Source organism: Homo sapiens, chromosome 14 (genome assembly GCF_000001405.40).
Source record: "Homo sapiens chromosome 14, GRCh38.p14 Primary Assembly".
Classification (NCBI taxonomy): domain Eukaryota; kingdom Metazoa; phylum Chordata; class Mammalia; order Primates; family Hominidae; genus Homo; species Homo sapiens.
Window position 1 is genome coordinate 69,953,038 of NC_000014.9, and position 20,825 is coordinate 69,973,862.

Sequence of the window (20,825 nt, forward strand, 5' to 3'; positions counted from 1 at the left end):
CTGATTTTCTAAAGAAAATGGTTGCAATTCTTGAACCATAAGACATGGTTGAGCCCCTGTTAGGCTTACCACTTTTAGAATAAACCCAGTGAAAAATCATGGAACTAAAACATTTTTTTTTCTATGGGGCCAGGGTAGAGGTACTTGGGAGAAAAGACAGGCAGAACTTGGGATAAACACGAATCCTCTGCTTTTCTATGAATGACATACGGGGAAGGGGGGCTGTGCAGCAGTTACTAGCCACGGCCCTTTTAGGGTTGGACAAGCCAGTTAGTTGTGTGTGGGCTCCCGCACAGGTGGAGTGGTTTTCTCAGCCATTTTGTCCCTCGGCCCCAGTGTCGAATCCAAGTGAAATATGAAATCTGCTCCTCTCCTCTTTCAGATGCTGGCCAGAGCAAGTGTCGCCTGGAGCGGGCTCAAGCCCTGGAGCAAGCCAAGAAGCCTCAGGAAGCTGTGTTTGTCCCAGAGTGTGGCGAGGATGGCTCCTTTACCCAGGTGAGGCCTCGGACAATCCTCTTGGGCTCTTTCCTGGACCGAGGCAGAGGGGAGGTGTCCCGAGAGCGCGAGGGCTGCTTGGCGCCTTCACTTTCTGGGAAACAGTTGAGTGAGTGGCTCTTCAACTCCCCTCTGTGCTGCCTTCCCCCTCTCTGGCCCTCCCCGTCCCTCCATGCCACCTCTTGCCAACTGGCAGTAGGTCCTGAAAAGACGCATGGAAGCCCAAGCCAGGAAACTGGCATTGCTTGGTCCCCATCCTCCCTGCCGTCTGTCTCCTTGGAGGGCCAGACCTGTGCTTTTCTCTTCTGTTAAATGTGAGCTGATTATTTTTCTTATTCCTGCCAGTTTCCATGGGCAACCCTGGTATTCCCTTCCCTGTTTTTTGCTACCCCCTGCCCTCCCTGCTTTCTATCCCCAGTCCTTGAACGAAGCAGAGCCCTCTTTGAGCACAAAGTGTACTATGGTTCTTGGAGTGTGTGAGTGTGTGTGTGTGTATACACATACAGGTATGCATATACTCAGATTTTAAAACCTAAGTCAGGCAGTCCTACCTCTCATCTTGCATGATCTTCTGGTTAGTGCATTGTCAAAGTAATGCTGACTGTGTTGATCTTGGCACAGACTATTTCTTTTTTCTTCTCTTTTTTTGGAGACAGGGTCTCAATCTGTTGCAGACTGGGTCTCACTCCAGGCTGGAGAGCAGTGGCACAATCATAGCTCATTGCAGCCTTGAACTCCTGGGATCAAGCAATCCTTCCACCCACACCTCCTGAATAGCTGGGACTGTAGGCACATGCCACCACACCCAGCTTATTTTTTAGAGACAGGATCTTGCTATGTTGCCCAGACTGGTCTCAAAGTCCTGGCCTCAAGTGATCCTCCCACCTCAGCCTCCAAAAGTGCTAGGATTATAGTGTGAACCATCACACCTGGCCTTGGCACAGACTATTTCTAAAACACAGGCAATGGTGGGACAGAAAGGTGCTTCTCAGGAAAGCTTCTGGGCTGCTTCCTCCTATGCAGGGGCTTGTGGCTGAGGTGGGAGGCAGCCTGGGCGGTGGGCAGCTTCTGTGAGAGTCAGATATGATGCCAGCTGAGTGAAGGTGCTGTCCTGATGAAAGTGTGGAAGGTCACTGGACAAGGATGAGCTTAGCCAAGTGGTTGGGAATGGTCCTGGCACCTGCAATTTCTTTGTCCAATCAAACAACATTTGGGGGAATCCTGTTGTCTTAGAGCCGGGGCAGAGGCTTCAGGGGTTTAAAAGTTCCCCTGTAATTCTCGATCAATGTGGCAAAGGGTATATAGGCTGGTCTTTGGTCTGAGGGGCTTCAGGTATCATTTCCAGGTGGGACACAGTGGATTACTGATTTGAGACTAACTTTCTGTTGAGGTAGAAATGTAGAGGGATGAGGAGGTTGAGGATTGGATATCAGCATTTTAAAAGTTTTCTGGTTGATTCAAATGGGCAGCCAGGCTTGATAGTCACTGGGTTAAACTGACGTTTGTTGCCGACCCTGGGAGAGGTGCTTTTAATTCATTTTGTCATTTAAGCCTCACCACAAGCCTGTGAGGTAGGTGTCATTATCCCCATTTATAGATGATGCAACAGGTGTGGGATGTGGAGTGGCAGAGCTGGGGTTCAGACTCACAAATCCCTAAGTCCAGAGCCCTCAGAAGCCCTCCATACTCTGTTGGCTCTCTGAGCTGGCAGCTTTAAAGGAGGCTCTGAGGTGTGTTCTGGAAGGAGGCAGTCTGGTGGTCTGGTTAGAGTGCTGCTCCTGGAGCCGGACACCTGGGCACGAAGCTCAGCCCCCACCCCTCAGGTAAGTCCCCGAGCTTCTCTGGGGTCAGAATTTCCTTATCTGAAAAGTGGAGATTGATTATTATGATTGCTTATCTGTTGTTATTCACTATTATTGTATGTAATAATAATTGTTATATATTATATATTCCTATAATTAGTATTGTTAATGATCATTATTATAGCTTCCCTCATTAGGTTGTGATGAAGATAAAATCAGTTAACACACATGAAACACTTGGAACTCATAAATAATATATAAATTTTTGTCATTATCATCATGATTATTCCCATCTCTACTGTAGTTCTACTACTGAAATCTTTCTATCATGTCGATACCACTATACCGCTTAAGAAAAAAAAACCCACCAAACCTTTTGTTGAAAATCCCCAAGTTGGAAAATGGATGAACTCTTCCATCAATTTTTTAAAAACTGTTTATTCTGGTAAAAAGAATGTGGGTGATCTTTGTATATATTTAAAACTGCATTGCAAAGAATTCATGTCTGTGGGGAGGAATCAGACTTCTCTCAGATTAGTTTGGGGCTGAGACAGGGTGAAGGTAAAGGAGGAGAGTGGAGTTTGTGGCCATCGGCTTTTTCTTTCTCCAGGCTTGTGTGATCCTGGGTGTGTTGGTTATAGGAATGGCTGACCCCTGCCCTCCTGATTCTGAAGTGTTGGCTACCTCGTGACAGACAGCCCACTGGCCAGCTTTTGTTTTGGTGAGGCCAGGCCAGACCAGGTGGTGTTTACTGAGGGAAAGGAACTTCCAGATTAGTCCAGGCTAAATTGCTAAACGAGAGAGTCCCTGAAGTTCAGCAAGAGTTATGTAGATAGTCAAGAACCCCCTCATTTGTTTGACATGCTAAGCACTGCCATGTGTCTGTAGGCTGAAGGCTAGCTCACTCTGGTGGGCAGCCAGACGGCCAGACAGCGGGCCCATCCCAGCTACAGTGATTGAAATGGATGTGCTTTTCCCGCTGATCAAAGACACTGCAATAACTTCACAAAATAAGGCTGCCTCTTTGAGTATGCTTCAGTCACATTGACTGGCTGCCAAAATGCCGGGAGATGAATGCTTTCTCCTTTCTCCAACCTCCATCACTTAGCTGGGCTTTTTTTTTTTTTTTTTTCTCCTAAGACCAAAACCCAGAGATAAACTACATTGCTTTAATATTCTTTAGAATATTGATATGCACGCATCCCGGTATTAACATATTTTAGCCCTGGGAATTATTACACAGTAACCCTCTCTTGAAGTTTATGGGGGGAGTGATGGCACTCTAATGGGATTGGATTTGTCTGGCATGGGACACAGCTTGAGACCACATGACTGACTTGGCTTTAATGGGCTTCATGTGGGACTCGCTGGCCTCTGTTCTTTCCCTTTGTTTTCCCTTGTCCTCTTCCCTCCCTACCTCCAACCCCAACTCACACACAGGAGTGGTTCAGCTTTCTTCTACAGCAGCGACACTAAAGCTGTACATTAGACCATGTTAGACTTTTAAAGGTCTTGAAACCTAGGCCATATCCCAGACCATTAAATCAATATCTGGGAATGGGACACAGACATTGTGTTTTTTCGAGCTCCCCAGGCGATGCCAATGTTTGATCAAAGTTTCAAACCACTTTTGTATGGACTTCATCACTCTGTTTCTCGATTGCATCCTTGAGACGTGGAATTTAGCCTCTTTGGTGACATGTTGAATAAGCTCAGGAGCTATAGGCTTTGTCCTTTGCTATGGTCTTATCTGTTTTCTGTTCTGGGTATCTGGAACACAACTCCTGACATCTGTTCTATCAAGTCCTCTGCCAAGCAGTTGTCTGGTGCCCAAGCTGATTAACTGAAATCTCAGCTGCAGTGGAAGGGTGTTGGGCTGTCACCATCAGGCTGTGTTGGCTGGAGCTTGGCAAGTGTGTGCATCACTGAATGACAATGATGCCCACTTTTTATTGAGTGCTATCAGGTGCTAGGCCCTGTGTTTTACACCCATTAATCTTTACTACAACCTTTTGAGAGTTATTAATACGCTTATGTATAAAGAAAAATTGAGTTTCAGTGGGGTTGAATAGCTGACTTGAGGTCCCTAAGCTTAAGACAATTTGTACTCAAGCCTGCCTAATATTGAGAGCCTAAGACAAGTTGTACTCAAGCCTGCCTAATATCCAAGGCTGTGCTCTTAACTTTTTTGGGCTACAGAAGTGGCCTTGATACATATGTATTCCATTTCTATCACCATTGTTGTTGCAGAAGTTCTCTTTCTAATGCTGTTGACCAATCAATGAAACAAACATTTTAAAAAACACAATCTTTAGATTATGGAAATTAAAAAAAGATACAAAAAAGTAGACATAATAGTATAATGAACATATACCCATCACCCAGCTTCAACAATGATTAAGAAATGGCCAGTTCTGTTTCATCTTTACCTCATTTCCATCTCCTGCCCCCAAACTGGATTGCTTCAAAGCAAATCCCCACGCACAGTATCTTTTCATCCCAGATATTTTTGAGCTCTGCTATATTGTGGGCTGTGTGCTGGTTGCTAGGGAGGATTCAAAAAAATGTCATGACCTCTGCCTTCAAGGAGTTTACACGCAGAAAAGAGATTAAGACATATGATAAAGTAACTATATAAAAGACAATATACAAACAATAATATTTCGAAAGCTCATTTATAAGTCAGTTATTTGGAATCCTGAATGCCTTTTATTGTTAAGAAAATATATACAAATTTTAAATTTTTGGACACAAATACCTTAAACAAAACTAAAAGCAAAACTGAGCATGGTGGCACAAGCCTGTAGTCCCAGCTAATTGGGAGGCTGAGGCAGGAGGATTGCTTGAGTCCAGGAGTTCAAGGCTATATTGCTCTATGATTGCACCTGTGAATAGCCACTCCACTCCAGCCTGGATAACATAGTGAGACCCTGTTTCTAAAAAGAGAAAAACTAAACTAAAAGCAAACAACACACATTAGCCTTAACAACAAAGAGCTAATCTTATGTAAAGAACTCTTACAATTCAGAAAGAAAAAGATCCTAGTGAAAATGTGGGCAAGAGATAGCAAAAAACCAGCCATATGATAATAATAGTCAATAAGTGAATCTGAATGATGTTATCTTCTTTTGTCATTTTAGAAATACAAATAAAAATGATGATGAATGCTCTTGCTTACTAAATTAGCAAAAACTGGGAAAAGATGATGATATTCAGGGTCAGATAAAGGGAAAAGGGTGCCCTTCTATTGCAGTTTGGAAAGTAAATTGGCACTGACTTTTTAGTGGGATAGTCTTGTAATATGGGTCAAAAGTCTTCAATCGTGTCCACATTTTGGGCCTGCAATTCCACTTCTAGGAATTTATTCTAAGGAAGTAACTAAAAATATGTGAAACTATTTAGCCACAAGGATTACAATCCAAGTTTTGTTTGTAGTGGCAAAAAATTGGAAACAACCTAAATATCCAATACTAGAAAATTGCTTAAACAAATGACATAGCCACACTATGCAACCTCCAAACGCATGTGTTGTAGAGGCTTATGTAATATATTTGTGTAGGTCTGTGTACTAGGGATTTAATTAACCAGATAATTAAGATGATAAATATTTTCATTTTTTTCTAAATAGAAAAGCTATACACATTCTGTTAAAAAAATTCTGACAATATGGAAGTATATAAGGTAGAAAGATTAAGCCAGTGATTTCATGACCCTGAAATAGCAACAGTTAAGTCTAACCCTCTAGATTTTTTTCCTTGTGTGTACTTATTGTCATTATTTAGGACAAGAATGGTGTAATGTTATATATTGTTTTACAATATTTTCTTAGCTAAGTATATTATGGGCTTATTTCCCAGTAAGTTACATGCAACACTGTCTCATTTAAAAAATGTCTGCATTGTATTTCATTGTATGAATGTATCACGAATCCTAAAAATTTGGAGATTAACTTTCCAGCAGCTCTCTATTGTGTCAAAAGGCCATGCACTTTTTAAGGCATTTGATGCATACTACCACGTCGCTTTCCATAAATGTTGAGCAACCATGTGGTTGATTATTGGTTGTTATCAGACTCATTCCCAAGATATTTTAATTTTTTATGTAGACAGATTATAGTTCTAATAATATAGAATATAAAACTCTATTCATTATGTTACTTCTGTGTGGAAAAAAATGTGTTATGTTTCCTGTCTTTGAGCTCCGTGGTCCAGGAACAATCTTTCTTGATATAGTTGTATGGGCACTACCACTTCTCCCATTTTCTAATTCTAACCACTGCTCCCCTCCAACAGTGCACACATGTACCTGATTTTTTTATTTCCTGAGGTCATTGCATATAGGGATCTATATGCATGGATCCCTTGCATATAGGGATCTATATGCATGGATCTCTTGCATATAGGGATCTGGGGAGATGTAACTTCTTCTTGATGATGCTTTGTTCTGAAGTTGGAAGCTTAAAAAATGTTCTGTGGCTTTTTGACAAAGGCATTGGGCTCTATTGTCATTTCCATAGTTCTTACTATTGTATTTCCTAAAACCTAGGGAAATACACACTTGTTTCCTAAGTGCCTGGGGTTGAGCTATGAAGCAGATCTTATTGTTCCTTTTTAGCTCCCCAGCCCCACAGTATAGAAACGCATCTTCCTGACGTCACCCCTGTAGACTCGAGTTGTGTGACTAGCTTGCCCTGGGAACACCTTGGTTTACCGTCTGGTTTTTCTTCTTTCACATTCCCAGCAAGTACTGAAGGTCTGGATGCTTGACATGAACTGTGAAACTTTGTTGGCCTGGACTGATGAAACATTGGCAGGCTGAACATCCTCATAGGGTGGAAGGGGTTTGTCCTATCTTTGATGAGCCTGGGAGTCTAATAGGAGTTCAGGGGCCAAGGGCCTTTTTGTCTTCATGTGGATATATCTTGCCTAGAGCAACAGTTTGGCTCTCTCAGACAGTGTAGAGGACCCTCTAGGTGAAGTACTGAGACCTGGGGTGCATCTGTGAGCTGGAATGTTTCCAAGCTTCTTCAGCCACAGTTGGCCCCTTTGGATGCTGCAGAAAAAGTGGGCTCTGTGTGTGTTTAGTGGATGGTGCCCTGCTTTATAAAGACCTCCTGCCTTTTGGTCTGTGGACAATGCCAGCTTTTTTTTTTAAAGCAGTCATACTGCCAAAAATTCAAGCCCATCCTTTATGTACAGATGGTATAAATGGTAAATGGTCCCCACTGTTGGGCACTTATTGCTTTTCTTTTTCCTTTTTTGTTATATGCTCAAAAAACATATTATTATTACAGTGTGAACATCTACTGTGTCCAGAGCATCTCACTACTTGTTTTACATGTGTTTTTCAGTGAATTGCTTTTGTTCCAAACAACCAGTTAATGTACAGTGATAATTTATACAAAATGTCTTCTATTTAGCACATAATTGTTGCTTAGCAGATGTTAGTTTTCTTCATCTTTAGGTTCTTGGTTTGCTCAACTGGGAAGAGTTGAACTCGTTCAGAGGTTGGCAAACTGTGGTCTGTGGACCGGCCACCTGTTTTTATTTATTCTTTAAAATAATAACTGTATTGACATATAATTTGTGCATCATAAAAGTTACCATTTTAAAATATGCTATTGAGTGGTTATTAGTAAATTCACAGTTATGCAACCATCATCATTATCTAATACCAGAACATTTTTGTCACCCGAGAAGAAATCTTGTACGCATTAGCATTCACTTCCCATTACCTCTCTCCTCAGTCCTTGGCAACCACTAATCTACTTTCTATTTCTATGATTTGCTTATTCTGGACATTTCATACAAATGGAATAATAATATGTGGTCCTTCTGCCTGGCTTAGTTTAATCAGCATAATGTTTTCAAGGCTCAGCCTTGTTGTAGCATGAATCAGTACTTCATTCCTTTTTATTGTCAAGCAATATTCTATTGTGTATATATATATATATATATATATATATATATATATATATATATATATCCTGTTTTATTTATTCATTCATCAGCTGATGGACATTTGGGTTGTTTCTATTTTTTATTTTTAGTTTTTATTATTTTTTGAGATGGGGTCTCGCTCTGTTGCCCAGGCTGGAGTGCAGTGGCATGATCTGGACTCACTACAACCTCCACCTCCTGGTCTCAATTGATCCTCCTACCTCAGCCTCCTGAGTAGCTGGGACCACAGGTGTGCACCATTGCACTTGGCTAAATTTTTGTATTTTTGGTAGAGATGGGGTTTTGCCATGTTGCCAAAGCTGTTCTTGAACTCCTGAGCTCAAATGATATGCCCACCTCAGCCTCCCAAAGGATTACAGGTGTGGGCCACCACGCCTGGCCTGTTTCCATTTTTTTGGCTGTTATAAATAGTACTATTGTGAAGATTTGTGTACATTTTTTTGTGTTTATCTGTTTTCAATTCTCTTGGCATATACCTAGGAGTAGAATTGCTAGGTCATATGGTAACTATGTTTATGCTTTTGAGGAACTGACAGACTGTTTTCCAAGGTAGCTGAACCATTTTACATTCCCACCGGCAATGTATGAAGGTTCCAGTTTCTCCACATCCTTGTCAACACTTGTTATTTTCCATCTTTCTTATTAGTATCTTTTCTAGTGGGTGTGAAGTGGTATCTCATGGTGTTTGGATTTGCATTTCTCTGATGACTAATGATGTCAAGCATCTTTTCATGTGCTTTTTGGCCATTTCTATATCTTTGGAGAAATGTCTACTCAGATCCTTTTCCCATTTCTTAATTCAGTTACTTATCTTTTCATTATTGAGTTACAAGAGCTCTTTATATATTCTAGATACAAGACTCTCTCTCTTTTTTTTTTATTTGAGATGGATCTGACTCACTCTGTCACCCAGGCTGGAGTGCAGTGGCACCATCTTGGCTCACTGCAACCTCTGCCTCCTGCATTAAGGTGATTCTCCTGACTCAGCCTCTGGAATTGCTGGGATTATAAGCGCGTGCCACCAAGCCTGGCTAATTTTTGTATTTTTATATTAGAGATGGGGTTTCACCATGTCGGCCAGGCTGGTCTTAAACTCCTGACCTCAGTAATCTGCCTGCCTTAGCCTCCCACAGTGCTGGGATTACAGGCGTGAGCCACTGGGCATTAGGTACCAGACTCATCAGATATATGATTCACAAATATTTTCTCCCATCCTGTGGGTTCTTTTTACGTTCTCAATAATTTCCTTTGAAGCACAAAAGCTTCTTTTTTTCTTTTTTCTTTTCTTTTCTTTTTTTTTGAGAGAAGGTCTCACTCTGTCACCTAGGCTGGAGTGTGGTGGTACCATCTTGGCTCACTGCAACCTCGGCCTCTTGGGCTCAAGCGATCCTCCCACCTCAGCCTCTTGAGTAGGTGGGACTACAGGTGCATGCCACTATGCAGGGATAATTTTTGTGTTTTTTGTAGAGACGATGTTTTGTCATGTTGCCCAGGCTGGTCTTGAACTCCTGAGCTCAAGCAATCTGCCTGTCTTGGCCTCCGAAAGTGCTGGGATTACAGGCGTGAGCCACTGCGCCTGGCCAAAAAGCTTTAGTTTTGAAGTTCAATTTATCTTTTTTTTCTCTTTTATTTCTTATAACTTCATTCCTTTTCATGTGTATATTCGGTTGTCTCAGGACTACTTGTTGAAAAGACTGTTTTTCCATCTTGAATTGTCTTGGTCCTCTCATCAAAAATAAGCTTATTTCTGGAATCTCAATTCTATTCCTTAATCTATATGTCTAGTCCTATGCCAGTGCCACACTCTACTGATTACTATAACCTTGTAGTAAGTTTTGAAATCTTATTTTTTCTTTGTAATTGGACAGTGAGATGAGGGTTGTTCTGCACCCATGTATGGGGTTAATGCTGGCTCCACTCACCGAGGCAGAGCATCTAGTAGGGGGAATGCACAGGAACCTGTAGCCTGTGCTGTGGTCCTAGGTTTGGAGACAATGTCAGTACCCTTGGCATGATATTTGTAAGAAAAGGGAAAGGTTGGGAGAGAACGGTACCAAATGGGGGTAGGAAACTTTTTAGAATCACCAAAGATGAGCATTGTATATCTCTAAGAGCTTTCAGTCTCTGACAGGCCAATACTTCTTTGAATCTACAAGCAGGAAAGGGAATTCCTTTTCAAATTAGAAACTCTGGGTTACAGGGAGCCTTGAAACTGTAGAGGAGAAATGCTACTGCCTGTCGGAGTAGAGCGGTGTGCTTGTGCTGGTCCCTCCCGCCCCTCCCCCAATGGCGTATCCTCTGTGGGCATTAAGGTTCTCAGCACATCAAGATCTGGGAGAGGTAGAAGCTGGAGCCCCAGTGAGCAGCAGCCAGTAGCCAGCTTCCCAAGGGCACCCTACTTTTGCCTTCCTGTGGGAGGTCAAGGTGGCATATCATTTGCAGTGAGTGAACAATCTCAGTTATGCAGTTACGAAATTTAATTTTTAACTTTGTCAGTGATGGCAAGAGCAGGGTCTGACCCATTCATGTGCAGGAAGGACTTGTCTAGGAAGTGACCGGTCTAATCTCTTGCATGTGTTGGGAGCCTCTACTATCATGTTTTCAATGGAAGAACTGGTCCCCATGCCCCCATCACCCATCAGGTGCAAGGATGTGTGATAAGATGAGGGTGGATGGAGCACGCTTTGTGCTCAGAACACTGTCTCCATTGTGCTCTCTGGGGACTCGCCTATCCCACTCTCTGCTCTGTCCTGCTCTTCAATGGCTGTTTTCTAGCTGAATGGCCACTGTGAGTCCTCTTCAGATTGGCTGGCATCATTTGCTTTGGAGTAAGCATGCAAGGTTTGGGTGCTCCCAGCTGGGCATCCGAGCTCCCTGTAGCCCTTAGTGATTCTGTCCCTACAATTTGTCTATTGTGGAAATGAAAGGAGTGAGCTCTGGGCGGTATCTGCAGCTGCTCTTCTGCAATGCAGTGTGCTTGGGAGGGAGGGAGGGAAAGATGGAAGCCTCCTGCTCTGGCTTTCCTGCTGTCTGTGGGAGAGGAGAGGCTCAGTAATGGGAGGCTTCAGTCACTCTCTCTGGTATTCTTTTTTTTTTTTTTTGAGACAGAGTCTCACTCTGTCGCCCAGGCTGGAGTGTAGTGGCGCGATCTTGGCTCACTGCAAGCTCCACCTCCTGGGTTCACGCCATTCTCCTGCCTCAGCCTCCCAAGTAGCTGGGACTACAGGTGCCCACCACCACGCCCGGCTAATTTTTTGTATTTTTAGTAGAGACGGGGTTTCACTGTGTTAGCCAAGATGGTCTCGATTTGCTGACCTCGAGATCTGCCCGCCTTGGCCTCCCAAAGTGGTGGAATTAAAGGAACTGCTCTTCTTTTTTAGATAATCATCATCATCAACAACACCACCACTTTCTTAACCTATACACAAGGTGCCAGGCTGTTTTATATTTGCCTGACACATGTTAAGTTATTCAGTCCTCACTATAAGCACTGTTACATTCCCATTTTATTGATGTGGAAACTGAACCACAGAGAAGCTGTGTAGCTTGCCCAGGGTCTCACAGTGTGCAAGTGGCAGAGTCAGTATTCAAACCCAAGTACCCTGGCTCCAGAGTTCTTGATCCTAACCATGATTCCACACTGCCCCTCTAAGAGACATTGCCATCTTTTAAAGTGATGTTGCCAGACTAGGGCATATTCAGGAGGGTGACTCAGGTGAGTAAAGTTGGGAAATGATGTCATGTGAGGAATATCCAATGGAGCCAGAGATAACAACCAAAGGATGGATAAAAAGATGACTAGGCCGGGTGCAGTAGCGCACGCCTGTAATCCCAGCACTTTGGGAGGCCGAGGTGGGTGAATCACCTGAGGTCAGGAGATCAAGACCAGCCTGGCTAACATGGTGAAACCCCATCTCCACTAAAAACACACAAAAAATTAGCCAGGTGTGGTGGTACATGCCTGTAGTCCCAGCTACTTGGGAGGCTCAGGCAGGAGAATCGCTTGAACCCGGGAGGTGGAGATTGCAGTGAGCCGAGTTGGCGCCACTGCACTCCAGCCTGGGTGACAGAGCAAGACTCTCAAATAATAATAATAATAATAATAATAATAAAAAGATGACCAAAGGGATACCTGAGAGCCAGATCCAAACCTTTGTCTGTGAATGATAATAAGTCTTTTAAGTGTAGTCCCACAGAGCTGACCCAGGATCACTGAGTACAGTATATAAAGAGTAGGATTCTGACTCGAAATAGGGAAGAACTTTTGACAAGTAGAGTAGCTCACAGACAGAATGTCTGACTCAAAGAGGACTTAACTTCCCATCCTGGAAAGTGGGCAATCAGAGACCAAGTGGATATCCATCAGCTGTGCCATGGGGATGGGAGGGAGTGTTCCTACATTGGGAAGGGGGTTCAATTGATCTCTGAGGAGGAAAACACCACTTTTTAGGATTTTATGAAACAAGAGCTAATGTCCAATCAGGTGGCTAGGCACACAGTAGGCCCACAACAGACATTTACTCAGGAAACTTTCAGGCAGAGCCATTAAGACACACGTTTAGGGCTTTTGCCACTGCTCTGTGAGTGCACGTAACATGCTGGGAGGTGACCCGGCAGGTCAGTCAACTAAACTCTTCTGCAAAATTGAAGGGATCAGAATTTTTTTTCATGTCAAAATAGGGAAGAATAATAGGAACTCAGGTGGGAGGTGTGAAGACAGAAAAGTTTTATTAAAAGTGAAGTCAGACAGGAGAACAAGGAAAGGCTCCACTCCTGCAGGCCACTTTTGTCTTCCCCACCAGCCAGCGTTCTCACAGTTCTCATCTGAGTAAATGCTCCTATTTATGAGGGACTTTCTTATTATGTACTTTTTAAACATAAAAATATATTTGATACTTAACCCCCAAGATAGAAATAAAATTAAAGGAACAAGAGGTATCATATTTGCTGTTTACAAAACCTGGACCATTCTAGGCACCAGACAGAGGAACAGGAGTGAAGACAGTGAAGTTTCTTGGGTCCCCGGAGCCCTAACACTCGGGTGTTCCAAATGTCTTTATATGTCCTTTGTGGGGGATGCTGTTCAAACTTTTTGGAAAATACAAAAAATATTCTTCACCATATAATTGGATTGGTGGTCTTAACACTGACAATTAGGTACTAGTTTATAAATCTCCTCCCTACTCTTCAGGAGCAAAAGTTCACCTTACAGCAGGGTTGTGGAATTATGGACCTTCTGGATTAAAGAGGACCTCAGAGACATCTGGTTTATCTTCTTCCTCTACCTACCCCACTCCAATCCAGGGCTCACGCTCCACTTACAGTCTCTACCCAAGTAGTCTTCCACCTTCTGCTTAATTGCTCTCAGAGACAGGAAGCTTATTCTCACAATGAAAAAATCCATAGTGAATTTTGGGACAATTTTTTTGGAAAGTCCTCTTTACCTTGACTTGAGAGCTGTCTTCCTATAACTTCCAAGAGATGACTTCAGTTCTAGCTATGGGAATTATAGAATCCACAGAAAGACTTGAAGATGAGCACCATTATATCCTTGTGAAATCTTCTCTTTCAGCCAACAATTTATTTCCCCTGGCAGAAATCCTTAGTTCTAGCACTCATTCCCATACCATAGGGATTTATATATCTTTCCATCTGGCCTCCTTCTTCTGAGTCTAATTTGCCAAGGCCCTTCTTATAGGGCCTTCCTTATAGCATCCTTCCTCACATTGGACACAAGATTTCAGATGTGGTCATGAGCAGGCTGGGGAAGAACAAGGCCATCTCTTGTTCTAAACACACCACTCCTAACTAATGCCATGTTGGCAGCCATATCACACCATCAACTCATAAAAAATGCAGTTGACAAAGACTCCCATATTTAGGAGGATTTGAAATTGAAGGATTAGCTTCCTTTCCTGCATCTCCTCTTAAATTCTGGCAGATGAGGTAAATACTCTTAAAGGAAAAATTCTTCATTCCCCAACAGGCAATCCTCCCTAGACTTGGCATAAAGTGGGAGACAATGTCTACAGTCAATAAGAATAGCAGTGCTTTCAGGCTATGGCCTAGATTAAGCTTGCCCATCCCATGGCCCGCAGGCCACATGCTGCCCAGGATCGCTTTGAATGAGGCCCAACACAAATTCGTAAACCTTCTTAAAACATTATGAGATTTTTTTTAAGCTCATCAGCTATTGTTAGTGTTAGTGTATTTTATATGTACCCCAAGACAGTTCTTCTTCCAGTGTGGCCCAGGGAAGCCAAAAGATTGGACACCCCTGGCCTAGATCCTCTGCAAAAGGTAGGGGAAAAGGATAAAATCAGCATGTGCTAAGCACATATCCTATATCTACACTGTTTTAGATGCTTTATATATCTTGTTTCATTTTGTCTTCTTAATAATCTTCAAGGTGGTACCATGAATCCTGTTTCATAGATAGGCTCAGAGAGGTTAAGTGACTTTGCTGAAGTCACACAGCTAGTAGTGGAGATGGTATTTACACTGAGGTCTTTTTGTCTCCAAAACCATGTTTTCCCTTCTACTCCTGTTGCTTCTCAGCCAAACCTGACTAAAGATGAGGAGAAGATGTGTGCGATAACCTATTCCAAACTGAGGAAAGGACAGCTCATGCTAGACAGACCAAAAGAATTACACCATCCCTTCCTTCTCTCCCCCTTAACCACTTCTCACTGCAGTCAAACTCTTGTCCATGTGTGAAATCACCCAGAAGATTTAATACTGCAGTCACTAGATTCATGCATTAAAATACCATGTCATTAAAACATTGGGAATATAAAAGCTTTGGAAACAAATAGGGTCACAAGGCCCCTTGTTCCCAAACTCTCACGTAGAAAACTACTTGTTTCTTGAGTATTTCATGATAAATGCCAGAAAGAGGGTGGGATGCTCCTTTGACACAGTGGCTCATGAAGTGTGGTCCCTGGACCCAGCGGCAAGAGCATTGCCAGAGAACCTGTTAGAAATGCAAATGCTCCAGATGACTCCAGACTCAATGAATGCAGAAGCTCTGTGGGTGAGGCCCAGCAATGTTTTCATAAGCCCTCCAGATGACTCTCATCCATACCCAATAAACAATCTTCTCCCTCAGATTCTGATGGAGAGAGATGTTCTTGGGGGTGGGGACATAAGTGGCCATCTCAGGTGATCAGTCTTCCAGCCAGAGCCCATGGCACCCATGGAAAACCACAACTGCTCAGACATCCTACAGGGAATGCAGCCAAAAGGAAAACAGAGCAGCTGAAAATACTGCTCTGACATGAAGCCATCAGTAGGACCAACAGCAAGATGTTTAAATTTCACTGTGCATTAGCTTAATCCAAAAACCCTGCTATCCGATTTGGAGTAATGGGCAGGTTAAAAAGAAAAAACAGTCTCATACTCTCACTGCCAAAAGAGAGTTAGAAAAATACTCACATTCTTTTTACTTGTAGTTTAACCTTTTTCCACTAGGAAATGTTCATATACATGACAGCAGTCCTTTCATTACATGTTTTGTAGCTGCTACCAGGCATGCTGAATCAAGCCTGTCCCATTGCATATGGTTCATGATTTCTATTTTGCAAAAGAAGCACAAAGAGACAGATGGGGAGAAATGAAGCCACAGGGTGAGAAGGCACTGTGCCTTCCATGGGATCCCAGTTGTCCTTGAAGTTCTGAGGCAATTCAGGATGGATTTCTTAGCAAATACATAGCTTGACAAAGCATTACAAAAAGAGAGGAGGGGTTGTCATCGGAAGGAAATTATTTCAAGCATAGTGAACTGAGAGCCTGATATCTAGACTGCAAAAAAGTAGGATGGGACAAAGTGAAAAAATACAGCAAGGCCTTGTAATTCATTATACTGCTTTTTCCCTTGACCCCAAGCACATTTCAGAGAACACTTGTCCTGTCCAATGCTCCCTGTGTAAAAGTTAGGGGAGGGTCCCTGCATTTGTCCATTCTTGCGTTGCTATAAAGAAATACTGGAGACTGGGTAATTTATAAAGAAAAGGGGTTTAATTGGCTCACAGTTCTGCAGGCTGTACAGGAAGCATGATGCTGGCATCTACTCCGCTTCTGGAAAGGCCTCAGGAAACTTACAATCATGGCGGAAGGGGAAGGGGAAGCAGGCAAATCACATGGCCAGAGCAGGAGCAGGAGCAGGAACAGGAGAGAGGGAGGGGAGGTGCCACACACTTTTAAACGACCAGATCTCACAAGAACTCACCCGCTGTCGTGAAAACCAAGGAGATGGTGCTAAACATTCATGAGAAACCCAGCCCGATGGTCCAGTCACCTCCCAACAGGCCCCACCTCCCACGCTGGGGATTACATTTCAACATGAGATTTGGATGGGGACATGCATCCAAACTGTATCAGTCCCCTAGTTTAATAAGTTTAGGAATTGCTGCAAATGGTATCTTCCTCTTAGGGATAAATCATTAATTGATGTAAAGCTAGGAGAAGTTCTGCAGTAAAGAAATCTTTTAACTTTGTTTAACCCAATATTTCCAAAGTTATTTGGCCAGAGGACACCTTTATCCCTCATTATTTCTATTCACACCTCACAGAACACAAGCTGCATTCATTCATCAGTGTATCAAATTGGAGAGAACAGCAGCCTCACATTTCTGGAGAAAAGAGAAGAAAGTGGGCACCTGCAGAGAGACTGGTTTCCTCTCTGGTTTCCTAGGAAAGCAAGGGTGATTGGTAGGAGAGTGAAAGAAGAAGCAACAAAGAAGCGAGTCTGGGAGGTGAGGCCTCACCCCTGCCATAGAAACCACCAGAGAACATCCCAGGGGAAGCAGGGCAGCCCGCAGCAGGTGGAGGCGCCAATGCTACTCCAGAAAAGGCCTCTCATTGAAACGGGAGCAGAAGACTCTCTTCCAGCTGCTTCCCTGGTGGGCATATTTACATGACCCCAAAGAGTTCTATTTTCCAGAAAATTACAAGGCTCAAAGAGACTCAGTCGCTTCCTGTCTCTTCCTCCTTCCTTGAGGTCTGAGAGCTTTCCATCTGCCGGGACAAGGTACTGGGAGCCAACTACTACTCTGTCTCTGGGCCTCAGTTTCCTCATTTTTGAAGTGTTTGGGTTAGATTGGTGACCTCTAAGGCTTTTTCCAGTCCATCAGTTCTGAAATTTTATGATTGCTTGGATATTGGGATTCCAATGTCCTGTGCTGTTATTAACTAGCTTTGAACAAATAACTTCTGCTCTCTGTACCTCTCCTATAAAAGATTTGCACACAGGGTGGCTTTGAGGCCCAAGTGAGATAATGCATAGACCTTTGATGGTGACTGAGAAGCCATCATGAAAGTGGAAGGTGGTATTTTTTGCGTTGGACATGGCACCTGCGGGTGATAGTTGTCTATATGTGTTGTTCATCTGTCGGCCCCATTTCTCTCTTTGCTTTCTTCCCCTTTGCTCCCTGACTTGCTTTACCCCCAGGAGCTGAGGTTTCTCTGCTCATCGGTTGCTCACCTGCCTTGTTGGGAGTGGTAGCCTGCCACATCCTTCCAGGTGTTCAGAATTTGGGCTAATGTTGAAGATTAGCAGGATTAAAATAATTCAGATCTGTCTTTATCTGGATGGGGGTTGGCCTGAAATATACCACTAGGCTGTTTATGTAAAGGGCTTCTTGCCAAAAATATTAAAGTGTATGAGGCAGAGATGAAACTTACTTATCTAGGAACACACTGCCTTAAAGGACCTTTGAGACCCCTAGTTACATTCTTTTTTTTGGAGACGGAATCTCACTTTATTGCCCAGGCTAGAGTGCAGGGGTGTGATCTTGGCTCACTGGAACCTCCAACTCGTGGCTTCAAGCAATTATCCTGCTTCGGCCTCCCGAGTAGCTGGGATTACAGGCATCTGCCACCACGCCTACTAATTTTTGTATTTTTAGTAGAGACGGGGTTTCACCATGTTGGCCAGGCTGGTCTCGAACTCCTGATCTCCAGTGATCTGCCTGCCTCGGCCTCCCAAAGTGCTGGAATTACAGGCATGAGCCACCGCACCTGGCCCCGCTCCCCCTGGTTACATTCTACAGTACAGTTGCAATATAAGCAGAAGGTAACCTCACTTAGGTTGATGAGTAAACACTTTTTGTCCCTTAAGGAGGAGCCATCTGTTGACACTTCAGCCTTCCTAGGATGCTTCGGAGTGGGATAGGAGCAGATTTCACTGTTTGTATCTGTACCTTTTGGGCCAGAACAACCATGAGTTTTGAGAACTGCACAGGGAGATATTTGAAATAGCCAATTGCCTCATGGATCCTCTTGGCCCTGGGTTTTCTGAGATTAAGTCTAAAAGTTGACCAACTTGAGGCTCTTAGGGAAAAAGGAAGGGTATTACTTATTAATTTAAAAGGATAAATCTGCAAGGGAGGAAGCTAAGCCAGGTAGAGTTTACATCTTGATCATGTATATAGAAACCATCAATTCAAAGAATTTACACCCTGATCGCTTTTCTGCAAGAAACGTTTCTCTCCTCTGCTGGCAATAGAACTATTTCTATGTGAAAACAAACATCTCCTTCTTCCACCCAAACCTTTGCAAACGTTTTGCTGACTTTAGACTGCCACTTCCCCTCAGGCTGCTCAGAATAGGATGTTCTTTTGTCCTCATCAGATAATCTGGCTCTGGCATTTTTGAGTGTACAGATAGTTTGCTAAAATATAACACAATGATAATAAAAATAAATAGCTGAAAGTTAACTGGGCACTTACCCTGTGAGCTAAGTGTTTTATTTACATTATCAAATTGAATTCTCTTAACAACTAAGATAAGTATTATTGTCATGATTATCTTCCCTTTTTAAAAAGATACAGACAGACCGAGGCTTAGTGTGATTGAAAAGCTTTTCAAGGCTGCAGAAGGAGTTAAGTGGCGGAGCTGGGAGGTGCTGGAAGGCCGGCTGCAGACTGTCTCCATGTAACTTCTTTTTCTGCAAGAAGTCACCTTGAAAACTCCCTAGACAACTTAGAAACAACCTCTCATTGTGGAATCATGGGCTGATTCACTCGGGGCTCCTTCAGCTAAGAGCTTGTGCTCGGCCACTTCCCTCAGCTCCTGGATCTGAGACCTTGCTCGGGTCTTCTGTGCCACCCTTTGCCCATGGCTGTCCCCACACCTGCGGCACACCTGGGGTAGGTGTGCCATTATTGTATACCCCCGCCCTCACAGGCACATGGCAACAATTCCTCATTTGATTTCAGTTTTATAGGACTTGGAAGGAGCTCCCAGCCTGGGATTTTGTAATCTGGGCTCTCTACTTTGGAGCCTGGACTGAGAAAAATGCTGAGGGCTCTGGGGAGAAAGGAGCTGTGTTTGGGCCTCTGGGCCAGCCGGGAGCTGGGAGACAGTGTTCATGTGCCCACTGGGATACAATGGGCACACTCAGTGAGAATGTGGCCCTTGGGACCCTCTGAGCCCACAGGTCAGATTATATCCCCAGAAACAAAGCTTTGGGCTTAGCCTCTTACTCATGAATTTGCTTCTGTCCCCACTAGCCTTTGCTGGCACTCTGTGCATGCTTGAGAGGAGGCAGCTTTTGAACCAGCCCGTTCTCTGCAGCCTGCTTAACTGCAGTGCCTGGCTCCCGCAGCACAGCACTGGGCCAGAGACACAGCCTCGGGCGATGGACTTGAGGGCACAGTCCTCATGGAGACAGAGGCCTACCTTGGCCATGGGAGTCAAGGGCCCTGGGAGTGAGTCAGCGTGGCCATTCAGCTCCTGGGACATGTTTCCCCAGAGGTGATTATTGACCAAGGAGGAGAGAGCAGCCTGCCAGGCTCCATTAAATTGCTGCCACTGGCAAGGAACTGTCTTTAGGAAATATCCCCTCTAGGGTGGATGGAGTCTGAAGGGATCAACTCCACATTTCCAGCAGCATTTCCCACCCAAGTCTGTGGAGGTTACTAGAGGAGATCTGGCCCTGGAAAAGGCCAGCTTGCCAGGCATTTCTGGCATCGCTGAGAACAATTCTCACCACCGCCACTCCATATCCAGCCTTCGCTGGGTGCCAGACAATGGACTTCCTTACCTTCAGGTTTCACGTTGTTATCCCCATTTTATAGATGGGCTCAAAGAGCTGAGCGATGTATCTAGTTCATAACTGGCTGGACCAGGATTCAAATCCACGTCTATCTGGATTTTTTTCCATTCCACCATTAAGGCTCCTCAGAAAGTAGTGTTGACGTGACCCCAAGATATTGCTCTTGGATGAACATTTGGGGTAGCAACCATGGCCATGAGATGAAGTGGGTGTGGGACATGGTACTGGGGTAAAGGCATTGACCAGAAGACCCGAGCAGGGTCTCAGATGCAGGAGCTGCGGGAAATGCCTCATTTAGACAGCATGCACCTTCGTGGTAGGAACAAGGTTCCCCCTATCTTGTCTTATCCTTGATTTCTGTCGATAGGTCCATAGCGAAACAACTTGTCTTGGGGAAAATGACGGTGTTTGGTGTCCACACGAGAGCAGAAGCCTTTCTACAGCTTTTCTGCCTTTGTGATAACTTTTGGATTTCACCAAGGCTGTCAGATGTCTCCTCTCACTGCTCCCTTC

The 20,825-nt window shown here is 43.8% G+C and overlaps 1 protein-coding gene across 4 annotated transcripts in view, besides 1 other annotated feature; it reads left to right on the forward strand.

Moving 5' to 3' along the window:
- The window catches only part of SMOC1 (SPARC related modular calcium binding 1), a 152,951-nt gene that overhangs the window by 73,622 nt on the left and 58,504 nt on the right, over positions 1-20,825 (forward strand). For all 4 annotated transcript variants that reach the window (NM_001425244.1, NM_001425245.1, NM_001034852.3 and 1 more), the window contains exon 3: positions 383-495. In NM_001425244.1, coding sequence (NP_001412173.1) covers positions 383-495 — 113 coding nt within the window. The remainder of the gene's footprint in view (positions 1-382; positions 496-20,825) is intronic.
- Positions 43-544: an enhancer, noted in NCBI's record as "H3K4me1 hESC enhancer chr14:70419797-70420298 (GRCh37/hg19 assembly coordinates)". NCBI's record gives its function as "activates a minimal SCP1, AML or CMV promoter by ChIP-STARR-seq in primed H9 embryonic stem cells {active_cell/tissue: H9 hESC(primed)}" and the evidence as "EXISTENCE:reporter gene assay evidence [ECO:0000049][PMID:30033119]".